At 53.3% G+C, this 16,114-nt stretch overlaps 1 protein-coding gene across 1 annotated transcript in view, besides 2 other annotated features; it reads left to right on the forward strand.

Moving 5' to 3' along the window:
* The window catches only part of TCF25 (TCF25 ribosome quality control complex subunit), a 37,788-nt gene that overhangs the window by 8,762 nt on the left and 12,912 nt on the right, over nucleotides 1–16,114 (forward strand). Inside the window, exons 2-9 of the mRNA NM_014972.3 lie at nucleotides 998–1,159; nucleotides 2,229–2,303; nucleotides 3,495–3,613; nucleotides 5,299–5,364; nucleotides 9,840–9,922; nucleotides 11,375–11,505; nucleotides 12,685–12,784; nucleotides 13,637–13,730. Coding sequence (NP_055787.1) covers nucleotides 998–1,159; nucleotides 2,229–2,303; nucleotides 3,495–3,613; nucleotides 5,299–5,364; nucleotides 9,840–9,922; nucleotides 11,375–11,505; nucleotides 12,685–12,784; nucleotides 13,637–13,730 — 830 coding nt within the window. The remainder of the gene's footprint in view (nucleotides 1–997; nucleotides 1,160–2,228; nucleotides 2,304–3,494; nucleotides 3,614–5,298; nucleotides 5,365–9,839; nucleotides 9,923–11,374; nucleotides 11,506–12,684; nucleotides 12,785–13,636; nucleotides 13,731–16,114) is intronic.
* Nucleotides 139–308: an enhancer, noted in NCBI's record as "experimental_46826 CRE fragment used in MPRA reporter constructs". NCBI's record gives its function as "activates a minimal promoter by MPRAs in K562 erythroleukemia cells, with activity observed for both the introgressed and non-introgressed 16:89948985 or rs34604714 variant alleles {active_cell/tissue: K562}" and the evidence as "EXISTENCE:reporter gene assay evidence [ECO:0000049][PMID:34662402]".
* Nucleotide 224: a transcriptional cis regulatory region, noted in NCBI's record as "Neanderthal adaptively introgressed variant 16:89948985 (GRCh37/hg19 assembly coordinates) or rs34604714 in the experimental_46826 CRE". NCBI's record gives its function as "modulates activity of the experimental_46826 enhancer by MPRAs in K562 erythroleukemia cells {active_cell/tissue: K562}" and the evidence as "EXISTENCE:reporter gene assay evidence [ECO:0000049][PMID:34662402]".

A 16,114-nucleotide genomic window follows, 5' to 3' on the forward strand; every position in this document is an offset into this window, starting at 1 on the left:
TTGAGACCCCCATCTCTACAAAAAAATTTAAAAAATTAGCCAGGCATGGTAGCTCACGCCTGTAGTTCCAGCTACTTGGGAGGCTGAGGCAGGAGGATGCTTGAACCCAGGAGGCCAAGGCTGCAGTGAGCCAAGATCACACTGCTGCACTGCAGCCTGGATGACAGAGCGAGACTCTGTCTCAAAAAGAGAGAGAGAAGGTTTCATCGTATGAATTATTTTTATCGTATGTCATTTTGTTTTTCTATTTTGAGATGGAGTCTTGCTCTGTTGCCCAGGCTGGAGGGTAGTGGTGCGATCTTGACTCACAGCAACCTCTGCCTCCCGGGTTCAAACGATTATACCACTTCAGCCTCCCAAGTAGCTGGGATTACAGGCTCCTGCCACTGTGCCTGGCTAATTTTTGTGTTTTTAGTAGAGACAGGGTTTCGCCATGTTGGCCAGGCTGGTCTTGAACTCCTGACCTCAAGTGATCCGCCTGCATCAACCTCCCAAAGTGCTGGGATCACAGGCGCGAGCACCTCGCCTGGCCTATCATTTTCATTAGGAAAAGTTTGTAGGTTGATGGGTCCTTGGTGCCTTTTTTTCCTGCCTGCTGCTGGAGAGGAGCTGAGGCTTGAGGAGAAAGGAGGAAGAAGGAACTTTAATGCATTGGCTGAATATATATATTTAACGTTTTGTCCTGCAGATGGTCCTCTGTAAATGGAGTAAATTACAATATTTGAGGAGTCTTCCTTACCTCATCTCTGAAGGCAGAGATACCCCATAGCCTCGGGGCCCCGGCTTTCTGTAGAGCTGCTGACAAAGTCCCCCTGAGCCAGAGCTGAGTCACTGCTGTGTCCAACAGTCTCGGGTTCTTGCATCTTTCCCGTCCAGCGTCTCGCACTGACCCTGGGGGTCCCCAACGCAAGCCCGTTCACATCTCACTATTCATATCTCAGCATGAGCGTTCACACTGTAAGTAACGCCCTGGCTCTTCTCCAACCTGTTTTTCCAGATAAACATTGACGATCTTGAGGATGACCCTGTGGTGAACGGGGAGAGGTCTGGCTGTGCGCTCACAGACGCTGTGGCACCAGGGAACAAAGGAAGGGGTCAGCGTGGAAACACAGAGAGCAAGACGGATGGAGATGACACCGAGACAGTGCCCTCAGAGCAGGTGGGGGGCTGAGTGGTGAGGAGGTGGCATCAGACGGGAGAGTTCCAAGGCACCCAGCCACGTGTATCCTGTGCTGTGATTTTCCTTGGAGGTGTAATTTTCCGAGTTCCATTTTGGTTACCTGCTAGTTGCCCCCAAATTTACTTGGGAACCTTGATGAGATTTGCATGAAATGAGTGAAGGTCGCAGGCCTTTCTCCTGCATCTCAGGAGAGTCTGCGCCTGCCCAGCAGTGTATGTAACCGCACACGTGTGTCCCTCCTAGCCAACCGCGCACGTGTGTCCCTCCTAGCCGACCGCGCACGTGTGTGCCTCCTAGCCGACCGCGCACGTGTGTCCTTCCTAACTGTGCCCCGAACGTTTGCTTGGCTGGGTTGTGGATCTGGGTGCTGGTGTAAGTGAACTTTGAAGAAACATGCAGGTCAGGTTAACGTGGGATGGGCAGAGATGCAGACAGCCTGCTGCTGTGCTCCACAGCACAGAAGAGGGGCCCTAAAAGGAGAGCTTGTGTTCATTTATCCAACAAGTGTTCTTGGGAGCTTGCTGGGTGCTGGGAACGTGCCTTTGCCCCCCAGGAGCCTCTGGTTGGGAGGGCAACATACATGTGAAGTGACAGGTGGGTCCTGACTTGAGGCTCAGGGTCCTGGGGGCTTCCTGAGGAGCCTTCCTACTGTCAGAAGGGGTTGGCCAGGTGCAGGCGTAGGGGACCACACATACAGGTGCGGTGTGAGGCGGCCAGGGCACAGCAAGGCCCCCGTCTTCAGGGTGGCTGCAGTGTGGCAGGGAGTGGCCGACACAGGGAGGAATGAGAGCTGGACCTGGTCAGGGTCCTGTGAGCCTGTGAGGCTGGACACAGAAGGCCCTGGGGACTGCTGTAGCACAGCCCGAGGGGCTCGGAGAGGTGGGAAGGTGCCTGCTGGAGAGAAGAGAGTGAGTTGAAGGAACTTTTGGGACACGGAGGGAGAGGTAGGGGCTGCTTAGGTGAGGGTGGAGTCACGCTTGCTGCTTTAATTCTCACTTCTTAAGATTTACTTCTCATTCTACTGATGAAAATGTGTTTCTATCATTAGTCTCATGCAAGTGGCAAACTCCGGAAGAAGAAAAAAAAACAGAAAAACAAGAAAAGCAGCACGGGAGAAGCATCGGTACGTGAGTTGGGCCTGGCTGTGCTCTGTCCCTCTGCCTGACGCCCCTCTCCCTCTGCCTGACGCCCTCTCCCTCTGCCTGACGCCCTCTCCCTCTGTCTGACGCCCTCTCCCTCTGCCTGACGCCCTCTCCCTCTGCCTGACGCCCTCTCCCTCTGCCTGACGCCCTCTCCCTCTGTCTGACGCCCTCCGTCTGCCTGACGCCCTCTCCCTCTGCCTGACGCCCCTCTCCCTCTGCCTGACGCCCCTCTCCCTCTGCCTGACGCCCTCTCCCTCTGCCTGACGCCCTCTCCCTCTGCCTGACGCCCCTCTCCCTCTGTCTGACGCCCTCTCCGTCTGCCTGACGCCCTCTCCCTCTGCCTGACGCCCTCTCCCTCTGCCTGACGCCCCTCTCCCTCTGCCTGACGCCCTCTCCCTCTGCCTGACGCCCTCTCCCTCTGCCTGACGCCCTCTCCCTCTGCCTGACGCTCTCTCCATTCTCTTCTGGCTGTTTTCCAAGGTGGTGTTGAAAGAAGCTTACTTAGTATTTTTATTCCTTCCTATTAGGAGTATAACTAAGAGATCAGGGAAAAAGAAAAGGGAAAGTTACTTTCTAAATGCTGCTTCTTGTTTTTACCCTTGTTCCTCGACTGGTTGGCGCTCTGCTCTGTGTCTCTGTGGGAATGTGTGATCTGATGGGGACATCCCTTCTAGTTCTGGTGCTCCTGTGACCCGTGGGACACTTGCTGTTTGCCCTGACATCTGTCCCATGCTTATGGGTTAATTGCATGGTGGGTACAGAACCCTCCACTGGAGCTAGTCTGTCATCAGAAAAAAATATGTTTTCATCATTGCCCTTCGTCCTCGTCTGACTGTGTCCTGAGACAAGGGTGTAGCTTTGTTGCCGTTTAGTTGGAGCCACAAGTCCCAACCCTGTTTGCCTGAGGAGGTGAGCACACCAGTGTGATGTGGAATGCCCAGTTTTTTCTAGGGTCCTTCTGGTTCTGTGATTCTGTCTATGCTGAGCGCTTCTTAGGAAACATCTCTTCTTTTTTCTAAATGTGTGGATGGTACATAGTGTTTGACTTATGCTGTCCTTTAGGAAGTAAATACAGTGTAATAGGTCTCTTTTAAGATAAATAATTTTGTTATTGTTACAATATTTAAAATAATGTCAGTGTGGTGATTAAGAGGTTGTTTTGGGGCTTTTAGGAAAACGGACTAGAAGATATCGATCGCATCCTAGAGAGGATTGAGGACAGCACTGGGTTGAACCGTCCCGGCCCAGCTCCCCTGAGCTCCAGGAAGCACGTTCTCTACGTGGAGCACAGGTGTGGCCCCCGCCCTTCTCTGCGGCTGCCCTTCTCTGCGGCTGCCCTTCTCTGCGGCTGCCCTTCTCTGCGGCTGCCCTTCTCTGTGGCTGCCACAGAGACTTCGTGGGAGGAAAAGGTTCTCTAAAAAAGGAAAAATAAAATGTACTGTCTTTATTTAAAAATCATATGAGTTTATTGGCTGGGCGTGGTGGCTCACGCCTGTAATCCCAGCACTTTGGGAGGCCAAGGCAGGCGGATCATGAGGTCAGGAGATCGAGACCATCCTGGCTAACATGGTGAAACCCCCTCTCTACTAAAAATACAAAAAATTAGCTGGGCGTGGTAGCGGGCGCCTTATAGTCCCAGCTACTCGGGAGGCTGAGGCAGGAGAATGGCGTGAACCCAATAGGTGGAGCTTGCAGTGAGTCGAGATTGTGCCACTGCACTCCAGCCTGGGCAACACTGCGAGACTGTGTCTCAAAAAAATAATAATAATAATAATATGAGTTTGTTATTACTCATTTAGGAAATAGGCCGGGCCCGGTGGCTCACGCCTGTAATCCCAGCACTTTGGGAGGCTGAGGTGGGCAGATCACCTGAGGTCAGGAGTTTGAGACCAGCCTGACCAAGATGGAGAAACCCCATCTCTAGTAAAAGTACAAAATTAGCCAGGCGTGGTGGCGCATGCCTGTAATCCCAGCTACTCAGGGGGCTGAGGCCAGAAAATTGCTTGAACCTGGGAGGCGGAGGTTGCGGTGAGCTGAGATTGTGCCACTGCACTCCAGCCTGGGCAACGAGCAAAACTCCGTCTCAAAAAAAAGAAAAAAAAAATACAAAAATTAGCTGGATGTGGTGGTGGGTGCCTGTAATCCCAGCCACTCAGGAGGCTGAGGCAGGAGAATCGCTTGAACCCGGGAGGCAGAGGTTGCAGTGAGCCGAGATCGAGATCGCGCCACTGCACTCCAGCCTGGGTGATACAGCGAGACTCTGTCTCCCGACAAAAGGAAATAGGAACAAGGAGGAAAGGAAGTCATCCATATTTCAGAGAACTTCTAGTTTTACTTCTTATGTATATTAGAGAGTTCCTTCTTTTTCTTTTTTTTAAGAGACAGGATCTCTCTATCACCCAGGCTGGAGTTCAGTGGTGTGATCATAGCCCACTGCAGCCTCGACCTCCTGGGCTCAGGAGATTCTCTTGCCTCAGTCTCCCAAAATGCTGGAATTACAGGTGTGAACCACCACGTCTGGTCAAAAAGTTCCTCCTTACCCTGTCATCCTTGGATGATTAATTCATCTCTTGGTCTTACAGATGCTTAATGAATCGCTGTCCCTACTTCAGAAATTATTGCCAGCTTAAAAAAAAAAAAGCTCCGTGGAGTCAGTTAAGACGCAGTAGTGTAGTCCCAGGGTGCGTGCACTGCCCCGACTCAGCCTCAGAAACAGACGTGTGCCACACACAGTGCCTCTTGACACAGCACTCACCGAGCGCCCTCACGGCACAGTGACGGCAGCTTCCCCATGGTGCCCGCAGTGGCGAGGCCTCAGCTGTGGTTGGGGTGGTGATTTTAGAGAAAGGCCTGGAAGCTGCCTTTCAAACCAAAAATCCGTGTTCTCTCCTTGACTATTAGGTGGCTTTCTGAAGCTTTTGGAATCGTCTTAGAACATAATTTCATGTTTTTTTTCTACAATTTTCAATTCCCCAGACACTTGAATCCAGACACAGAACTGAAAAGGTATTTTGGTGCCCGGGCAATCCTGGGGGAGCAAAGGTAAGGTCCACAGTGAGCTGCATTCTCACAGCTGCTTCATTCCTTCTTAGACTCTTGGCCGGGGGTGGTGTTCCTGAAGCTAGTTTACCCTTGAGGGAGAGTATTTAAAGCCAGAGTGCACACGTAACCCTTAGAATTGGGGTCTGAATGGGAGTCCACAGATTGTCTGTGTATAACCTTGTCTGTGACCGTGGGTTGTAGAGATGCTCAGAGTAGCTGGTCTCCATCCCTCACACTGCCTTGTCCAGCATGAGGTTTCAAAAGCCATGCCGAGTGCAGTGCTCACGCCTGTAATCCCAGCACTTTGGGAGGCTGAGGCGGACAGATCACCTGAAGTCAGGAGTTTGAGACCAGCTGGGCAACATAGTGAAACCCCGTCTCTACTGAAAATACAAAAATTAGCTGGGCGTGGTGGGCAGGCATCTGTAATCCCAGCTACTCAGGAAGCTGAGGCGGGACATTCGCTTGAACCCAGGAGGCAGAGGTTGCAATGAGCTGAGATCACACCACTGCACTCCAGCCTGGCCGACAGAGCGAGACCGTGTCTCAAAAAAAAGTTTTCAAAAGCTGTTAAATTTTAAGATTCTAGTTTTGTCGTGGTGGCTCACGCCTGTAATCCCAGCACTTTGGGAGGCCAAGGCGGGCGGATCACCTGAGTTCACGAGTTCGAGATCAGCCTGACCAACATGGAGAAACCCCGTCTCTACTAAAAATACAAAAAATTAGCCAGGCATGGTCGTGCATGCCTGTAATCCCAGCTACTCAGGAGGCTGAGGCAGGAGAATCGCTTGAAACCGGAGGCAGAGGTTGCGGTGAGCTGAGATCGTGACGTTGCACTCCAGCCTGGGCAACGAGAGCGAAACTCCATCTCAAAAAAAAAAAAAAGATTCTAGTTTTGCTTCTCAGAGCAAAACTAATGTGAAGGTCAGGTTCTGAGATAAGTTTCTTTCTCTCTTTCTTTCTTTTTTTTTTTTTTTGAGGCAGATTCTTGCTCTGTCGCCCAGGCTGGAATGCAGTGGTGTGATCCTGGCTCACTGCAACCTCCGCCTCCTGGGTTCAGGCAATTCTGCCTCAGCCTCCCGAGTAGCTGGGATTGCAGGTGCACGCCACCACGCCCAGCTAATTTTTTTTTTTTTTTTTTTTTTTTTTAGTAGAGACGGGGCTTCACCATGTCGGCCAGGCTGGTCTCGAACTCCTGACCTCAGGTGATCCACTTGCCTTGGCCTCCCAAAGTGCTGGGATTACAGGCGTGAGCCATGGCGCCCGGCCCAGATAAATTTCATCTGTGTCCATTCAGTAGTTCTTAGCAGTTGGGCAGCCCCAGATGAGGATGGCTGGCTGCGATGGGGAGCACAGGGTCTTTCAGCTCCTTAGAGGAGGAAGAGCAGGGGGGGTGTCTGCTTCTGGGACTTTATGTAGGAGGTATATTCCACCTCTGGACTCTCCATCGAAGTGTCCAGAAGGCTTTGTCTTTTTTTTATTTATTTATTTTTATTTTTTTATTTTTTAGAGACAGGGTCTTGCTGGGTTGTCCAGTCTGGTTTTGAACTCGTGGCCTCAAGTGATCCTCCCATCTCAGTCTCCCAAATAGCTGGGACTACCGGCACATGCCACCGCTAATTTATTTTATTTTATTTTTTATAGAAACAAGGTCTTACTTTGTTGCCCAGGGTGATGTCAAACTCCTGGCTTCAAGCGATTCTCCTCCCTCTACCTCCTAAAGTGCTAGGATTACAGGCATGAGCCACCACGCCCAGCCAGACACATCCTGTTTTATTGGACCATGGAGAGTATTGCTGGTCTATAACATGCCCTGGGTTTGCACGTCTGAGTTCTTTTTTTTTTTTTTCGAGACAGAATTTTGCTCTTGTTGCCCAGGCTGGAGTGCAATGGCTCAATCTTGGCTCACCACAACCTCCGCCTCCCGGGTTCAAGTGATTCTCCTGCCTCAGCCTCCTGAGTAGCTGGGATTACAGGCATGTGCCACCATGTCCAGCTAATTTTGTGTTTTTAGTAGAGATGGGGTTTCTCCATGTTGGTCAGGCTCGTCTCGAACTCCCAACCTCAGGTGATCCACCCGCCTCAGCCTCCCGAAGTGCTGGGATTACAGGTGTGAGCCACCGTGCCTGGTCTGCACGTCTGAGTTCTAAGCATTGTTTTCTTTTTTTGAAATGGAGTCTCGCTCTGTCACCTAGGCTCTGGAGCTCAGTGGTGCGATCTCAGCTCACTGCAACCTCCGCCTCCTGGGTTCAAACGATTCTCCTGCCTCAGCTTCCCAAGTAGCTGGGATTACAGGCGAGTGCCACCATGCTCGGCAAATTTTTGTATTTTTGGTAGAGACGGGGTTTCACCATGTTGGCCAGGCTGGTCTCGATCTCCTGACCTCAAGTGATCCGCCAGTCTCGGCCTCCCAAAGTGCTGGGATTACAGCCCTGAGCCACTGCGCCCGGCCTCCCAAAGTGCTGGGATTACAGGCGTGAGCCACCACACCCAGCCTAAGTGTTGTTTCTGCACCATGGTATACCCAGGTCATTTCCTCACCCCAATGGTAGCATGTGTCCAGATGTTGGCTACAGTCCCCGGTGTCTGCAGGCATTTCTGTGAAACTGCCCAAGAATGAGTATATATCCTGCATGCTGCCAGTGCCTTCAGTAGAGTTACGTGGCTCACACTGAGTGTCTGCCCAGGTCCTTCACCTTCTTACTCGTAGTCGACGGTAGTGGTTTGGAAACCTGCCGTCGTGTGTGGGCAGAAGTGTTGGGGTTTTGATTGTGGGTAGATCAAGGATGTTTTCATATGCTGTTGTTCACGCCTTCCCTGGATTTCTAACAGGTTTTGCTTTATATTTTACTTTACATTTTTGGTGTTGATGGGTTTCTTCGGGAATATTAATTAAAAATAGACTTTAAAATGTCACTTTGTCATCTGCATTTCTCTGAGCTGAGGGTTCCACCTCGTCCCACCCTTTGTTTGCATCTGCTTGGTCTGTCTTGGTCATTTCTTTATATTTTTGCATGGTTTTATTTCTGCAAATTATAATTATTAATAGTAATTAGTATTATAACTGTTAATACTGATTACTCGTAGTAATTAGTTGACAATAATTGCCTTTATTATTTTTATAGTATTATTAAACTTTTTTGTTTATTTATTTCTTTAAAAATTTAAGTCCTACCAAAAGACTTACATGGAGAAGCCACAGTTTCCTTTTTATTCATTCCTTGTCCTGCTCCTCCAAGACAAAGACCTGGCCTGTTTCCATTTCTCCTTCTGGTGGTTCTCTCAGAAGCTCAGAATAACAGGCACTGCTTTCTCTTGGGTCCTTGACTTCCTACTACGACAGCCCGGTCAGCTCATCGCCCCCGCACTTCAGCACACTCCTCCCATTGCTCAGGGCGCCTGCCAGCCTTCAGAGCTCCTCCAGGCTCCTGTCCCCTGCCCCCTCCTGGCATCTGCCCAGGCTGCCTCGTTGGGTCTGTTCTGGAGGCTTCCTTACTTGTTTTGTGGGATAGCTCACCGCAGGTCAGGCCATCCCTGGGATTCTGTACATCTGGCCCAGGAGAGTGCTGAAGGGCTGACTCTCCTAGGCCTGGGCGTGTGCTACAGGCAGGAGAAGCAGGCTGGGGCCACCTTCATGTCAGGAGGGCCCACCACACTGGCCTCCACTCTGCGGTGGCTGAACTGTGGGGAGCCCGGGGCCAGGGCAGGGATGGCCCCGTGGGAAGGGAGCTGCACCGTGCTGATGGTGACCGTGGGCATGGCTGCTGCTGTCTGTGCTGCCGCGGCTGCCACGCCCCACCTGTCTGGTGCCTGTGTGCTCAGGCAGAGTGCCCTGACCTCTGTTATTTGGGGGTCTCTGCCACAGGGGTCAGGCCCACTCTAAGCACTGGTCAGCTGGTATCTGAGCTGGGCAGGTGGGGCAGCATGGAAAAGGCATGGAGCTGCTGTTACCTCAGAGATGGTTGGTTTCTTAAGTTGAGTGATGGGCATGTGGATATTAGTACGTTGTTCTCTTTCTTTTCGTTTTCTTTTTTTATTTTCCTCTTGAGACAGGGCCTTGCTCTGTCGTCCAGGCTGGAGTGCTGGGATCACAGGTGCAGGCCATCACGCCAGGCTAATTTTTAAAACCCTTTGTAGAAATGGGGTTTTGCTGTCTTGCCCAGGCCAGTCTCGAACTCCTGGGTTCAAGAAATTCTCCCATCTTGGCCTCTCAAAGTGCTGGGATTACAGGTGTGAGCCCCCGTGCCCAGCCAGAATTGTTTCTTTCTCTCTATGGGGCCCTCCCTGCTGCACCCGTCCCACAGCAGTTGCTGACGCTTGTTTGCATCCTGTCCTTAATGCGTCCCCACCCTGCCCCACATGCCTTCTCTGCCCCTCAGTTTTGCTTCCACAGCCCGTGCAGGGATCAGGCAGCCAAGCCTTGGTCCCCACACGCCACAGGAAGTAAAGCTGTACCTGTGTCCCGTTCTCCCCAGGCCACGGCAGAGACAACGTGTGTACCCCAAGTGCACATGGCTGACCACCCCTAAAAGCACCTGGCCCCGCTACAGCAAACCAGGTGAGGGTCTGCAGATGCTGCTGGGGATGGAGGGTTGGGGGGCGTTGTCTGTGCACTGGCCCCGGTACAGCAAACCAGGTGAGGGTCTGCAGAGGCTGCTGGGGGTGGAGGGCGGCGGGGGGGTGTGTTCTGTGCACTGGCCTGCGCTGGGCACCAGGGGCGTCAGTGCCTCTTGAGCCGAGACTCTTTGCTCCAGGAGCGCTCCAGGAGTGTGCAGTGTGTGACTGTTTGTTGCCACACTGAGGGCCTGAGTGCTGGAGGCCTGGCCCAGTACCTCAACACGGAGCCTCCCAGGCACAGTCTTTGTGTGACTGTCTTTTAACGCAGGTTCTTCCTACCATTCTGCCATCGACCTTTCCCTTATGGAAGCAATCGAGTTCATTTTAAACTGCAATATTTTGTATATTATTGCAAACTAATAAGTGATTTTAAGATGAATTGCAACAGTGAAGACAGGCATGGAGTGTTGGGTGCTTGGTTGTGTGGTGTGGGGAAGTGTCAGGAGGCCTTCCACACTGGCCTCCACTCTGCAGTGGCTGAACTGTGGGGGCCCTCAGGGGCCAGGGCAAGGACAGCTTGTGGGAAGGGAGCTGTGTGGTGCCCTTGGTGATCGGCATGGCTGCTGCTGTCAGCGCTGCCATGGCTCCCACGGCCGCTTCTCCTGCGCCTGTGTCTGTGGGGGTGCCGGAGATTGCCTGCATACATTCTGTAAGGACACATCTAGGAGCGAGGCCTGTGCTGTCAGAAGGTGAACCCCGCTGCTCACGGCCCCTTCCCTTCCTGGCAGGAACCCCTGCTCACTGCAGACAGGGGTTCCATGGCCATGTATTCCTGCAGGACTGGGGCCTTGGGCAGGGCCATCAAGAAGGTATCACTACAGGGGACCTAGTCCATGGAGGTCCTGGGAGGCTGAGCTTTCCAGGTTTATCAGAAGAAACTGGGTCCCATACACCCAGTCAGACAAGAGGAGCCAAGTGAGAGGGTGGTCACACGTTACAAAGCTCTGTGGCTTCAGAGGCCTGGCGCTGTGGCCACCTGTGCCACCGCACTCCAACCCTGTCCTTCCACAGCCACCCCGGACATTCTCCTCAATCAGACGTGGTCTGGGGACAGTGCTCGGCGTGGTCAGATCTGGCGATCTGTGGACTGTGTGTGTCCTTGTCCCTGACATTCCCTCCAGGCCAGTGGGGCTAGAGCTGTATCCGAGTTCTGGAGGCAAACACGTCTTGATAGGAAACTAAAGCAGACGGGATGCCGTCTCCTGGTGTAGACCAGACGGCGGGTGTTTTGGGAAGGTGTCCGGAGCTGGTGACACCCATGAGTACACACTCAGGTCAAGTTTGTCGATATCGCAGAGGCCTCATCCAGAACACCACGAAGGTGAGGGCTGTGCTCGGAGCTGCCCACGTCCCTGCTCCCGGCACACCCTCCCTGAGCACTCTCCCCTCCCAGGTCTGTCCATGCGGCTGCTGGAATCAAAAAAAGGCCTCTCCTTCTTTGCGTTTGAGCACAGTGAGGAGTACCAGCAGGCTCAGCACAAGTTCCTGGTGGCCGTGGAGTCTATGGAGCCGAACAACATCGTGGTGCGTGGTCCCTGCAGCCCCTGACAGGAGCAGGGGCCATGTAGCCACCACTGCCCTGGGCCGCCTGCTTCCCTGGTGGCTGGGGGAGGCATGCTGCCTCCTGCCCTTCCCAACAGGAAGGGTGCCAGTCTCTGCAGGGCGGTCTGGCCCTGTGACCAGAAGGAGATGTGTTCGGAGGCTCTAGGCCAAGCGAGCTCCATCCATACTCAGAGGAGAGGCTGGAGCGCTGCTCTCTCAGCCGTTCCTGGGGACCGTCGCAGTAGTGCCGTGTGATGCAGGCCCAGGACTCTGGGGCTTCTCACTGCTGCCCTTGCCTCCTGCGGCTCAGTGCAGGCGAGCAGCTCAGATTCCCGGCCCCCGTGCAGCCCCCGGACGGCCCCCACACGGCCCCGGACGGCCCCCGCGCAGCCCCAGACAGCCCCGGACCTGGACAGTCCCCGTACAGCCCCGGTGCAACCCTGGACAGCCCTCATGCAGCCCCTGGACAGCTCCCCTTGCAGCCCCGGACGGCCCCCGCGCAGCCCCAGACAGCCCCCGGGCGGCCCTCACGCAGCCGCCGGACAGCTCCCCTTGCAACCCCGGACAGCCTCCGCAGAGCTCCCCGTCATCTCCCTGTGGGAAAAGCAGGCTGCTGCTTTCCATTCCTCTTTCTTGGGGCTTAGTGGGGAGTTAGGTGGCCCCTGGCCTGGGCATGTCAGGTTCTGAGTTCTTGCTTTAAGTCATATAATTGGTTCAGCTTAGCAATAATAACTAGCCTATTTTGAGTTGGGGGGACGTTGTGAGTGTCGACCCGGTAATTCCCCCGTTTTTGTTTTTGTTTTTGGAGTCGGAATCTCACTCTGTCGCCTAAGCTAGAGTGCATTGGCGCAGTCTCGGCCCGGGTTCAAGCGATTCGCCTGCCTCAGCCTTCCGAGTAACTGGAATTACAGGCACACGCCACCACACCCGGCTAATTTTTGTATTTTTATTAGAGACCAGGTTTTGCCACGTTGGCCAGGCTGGTCTTGAACTCCTGATATCAAGTGATCCTCCTGCCTCAGCCTCCCAAAGTGGTGGGATTACAGGCGTGAGCCACTGCGCCCAGCCTCCGCTGGTTTTAAATGTCTGAAAAAAAGGCATGCCTGGGAGCTGGGGCCTTGCTGAGTGCCTTTCCTCCAGGGCTGTCCTCCCTTCTGGTAGGTTCTGCTCCAGACGAGCCCTTACCACGTTGACTCACTCCTGCAGCTCAGCGATGCCTGCCGCTTTCAAGAGGATCAGGAGATGGCTCGAGACCTCGTAGGTAAGGCAGAGCCCCCACCCCATTCCCCTCAGCTGTGGGAGCACCTCAAGCTATCAAGACAGATGCGATGGTGTAAGATGACAGGGGTTGCCAGGATATCCATGACAGCTTTATTGAGATACAACCTACGTAGCACAAAACTTACCCATTTAAAGTTTTTGTTTGTTGGTGTTTAATATATGCCACAGCCTCCCGAGTAGCTGGGACTACAGGCGCCCGCCACCAGACCTGGCTAATTTTTTGTATTTTTAGTAGAGATGGGGTTTCACCGTGTTGGCCAGGATGGTCTCGATCTCCTGACCTTGTGATCCACCCACCTCAGCCTCCCAAAGTGCTGGGATTACAGGCATGAGCCACCACGCCCCGCCCTCTGGCTTTTATTTACAATGAAGTTTTCAAGGTTCATCCTCACTGTAGCGTCGATCAGAACGTCGTTCGTTTTTATGGCTTAGTAATACTCCACTGTGTGGACGGACCACATGTTGTGTATCCATCATTAGTTGACGGCCGTGTGGGCTGTTGTAAATAATAGTGCTTACGTCAGCATGCACACGCAGTCTTAGGTGGACACATCTGTGCTGCACACATGGACGCCTGGTTCTGTCAGGACGTGGCAGCAGTTGTGCCTCATGGTGTTGAAAGTGTTACCATGTCAAGCTCACAAGTTCTGTGGTTGAAATAAATGCAGCGTGGCATCCAGGGTGCCCAGGGGCATGTCTGCCCTCTCAGTGTCCAGGACTCTAGTTTCGTGACCTTCCGTCCAGACCTTTCCTTGTTGTCCATTATCAGAGGAGGGGCCGTGGTTGCTGTGTGTGGCCATGACACCCTCCCCTGGCGTCCCTGTGCCCACAGAGAGAGCGCTGTACAGCATGGAATGTGCGTTCCACCCCCTGTTCAGTCTCACCAGTGGGGCCTGCCGGCTGGATTACCGCAGACCCGAGAACAGGTGAGTGCAGCTGCCCTGGAGGTGACGCAGCTCCCCTTCCCTTCTCCTGCGAGTGAGGCTGGGGGAGGTGCAGTGGGCACCTCATGGCTGCCCTCCAGGGTGGACCAGGGCCCACAGGTCCAGAGTGACCCACCTTCCTCTCTCTGGGCTTAAGGATAGAGGGATGGGATTGTCTCAGCCCAGGTTTACCTTTGTCTGTGGACATGCCTGATGCTACTGTGGAGGTCAGAGTGGGAGGTCTGCTGAGCCCAGGAGTTCAAGTCCAGCCTGGGCACCATAGTGAGACCCCCATCTCTTAAAAAAATAAAAATAAAAATAAATGTTTGTGTTAGAAGTGAGCCTGGCTGGGCACAGTGGTTCACGCCTGTAATCCCAGCACTTTGGGAGGCCGAGGTGGGAGGGTTGCTTGAGCCCAGGTGTCAAGACCAGTCTGAGCACCGTGGCAACATGCAGTCTCAAAACAGCATTTTTTTTTTTTTTTTTTTTTTGAGACGGAGTCTCACTCTGTCACCCAGGCCGGAGTGCAGGGGCGCGATCTCGGCTCACTGCAAGCTCCACCTCCCGGGTTCAAGCCATTCTCCTGCCTCAGGCTCCCGAGTAGCTGGGCCTACAGGCACGTGCCACAACGCCTGGCTAATTTTTTGTATTTTCTAGTAGAGACGAGGTTTCACTGTGTTGGCCAGGATGGTCTCCATCTCCTGACCTTGCGATCCACCCGCCTCGGCCTTCCAAAATGCTGGGATTACAGGCGTGAGCCACCGCGCCCGGCCACTACAGAACATTTTAAAAACTAGCTGCGCCTGGTGGCGCGTGCCTGTGGTCCCAGCTACTTGGGAGGTTGAGGCGAGAGTATCACTCAAGTGAGCCCAGGAGGTCGAGGCTGCAGTGAGCTGAGATGGTACCAGTGCACTCCAGCCTGGGCAGCAGAGTGAGACCTTGTCTCTCAAAAAAAAAAAAAGAAGAAGAAGAAGAAGTGAGCCTGAGAAACCAGATCTCCACAGTGGGCTCTGCAATTGCATTTCCTTCTATGTTTGGCTGAGAAAACCCATCCCTGGCAAGTTTAGAAGCTTTGGAAGGCTTTGCAGGTTTGACCTTAAATCAGTGAGGAGCTCAGAGTCAGCCTGACCCTCGCTCCCCTGTGCTGAGCGACCGCATGTGGAGGTCTCTCTTCTTTCAGATACTTCTGCCCCTAAAGCCATCCCTCTGGCATCAGGCCTCGCTGGTCAGACCTAGACTGGCTTCCGCCAGGCCTTCCCGCAGCCTGTCCTGTGGGCCCTTTGTGGAGCAGACCAGCTTCTGTCCGCTGTCCTGCCTCTCCTGTGTGCAGTGCCCTGTTTCTCTGGCCGCCCTGGGTTGTCTGCAGTGTGGGATCCGCTCCTACCCTCTCAGCCCTCCTGGCAAGCCAAGGTCCGCTGACCCGTTCTGCACAGATTGTCTGCACTGTGTGCTGGGTCTGAATTTCCTCCACTGGTTTTCTTTATGTTAGTTTTGTCTCTTCCAATGAAATTCTTAGTTCTTTGAAGTAGATTATAAAATATTAATATTTCCCGACGCGAAAGAGACAGTGGGCTGTTGATGGAAGTAGCAGCCCACCAGCATCCGAAAGTCACAGGGCTCCATGTATCCAGCCTGAGTGCTGTTAGCCACTGTTGAGATTGGAGGATAAATTAAGATCGTAATTGTAACAAGAGATTTTAACTCTCTTCCTGTAAATGATAAATAATAAACAAAAAAACAAGATAAAGATTTCAGCGGGGCGTGGTGGCTCACGCTTGTAATCTCAGCACTTTGGGAGACCGAGGCAGGTGGATCACAAGATCAGGAGATCGAGACCACGGTGAAACCCCGTCTCTACTAAAAATACAAAAAATCAGCTGGGTGTGGTGGCGGGTGCCTGTAGTCTCAGCTACTTGGAGAGGCTGAGGCAGGAGAATGGCATGAACCCAGGAGGCGGAGCTTGCAATGAGCCGAGCCGAGATAGCGCCACTGCACTCCAGCCTGGGTGACAGAGCGAGACTCCGTCTCAAAAAAAAAAAAAAGATTTCAAAGAAGTTTGATTTTCAGTATGCAAATTCGTGTATAACTCTGTAAAGGACAAGGAGAGCGCACACCTCCTCTCCAGACATGGATCTCTGTGTGCTGGGCACGTAGAAAATGCCAGCAGAACCCAGAGAGCAGAATGGGGGTGGAGCGGGTGCTGACCGGGGCGCTAAGCAGTGTGTGGGGTGGAGCGGGTGCTGACTGGGGCGCTGAGCAGTGTGTGGGGTGGAGCGGGTGTTGACTGGGGCGCTGAGCAGTGTGTGGGGTGGAGCGGGTGTTGACTGGGGCGCTGAGCAGTGTGTGGGGTGGAATGGGTGGTACTGGCCAGGACGCTGAGCAGAGGG

Source organism: Homo sapiens, chromosome 16, assembly GCF_000001405.40.
Source record: "Homo sapiens chromosome 16, GRCh38.p14 Primary Assembly".
Taxonomy (NCBI): domain Eukaryota; kingdom Metazoa; phylum Chordata; class Mammalia; order Primates; family Hominidae; genus Homo; species Homo sapiens.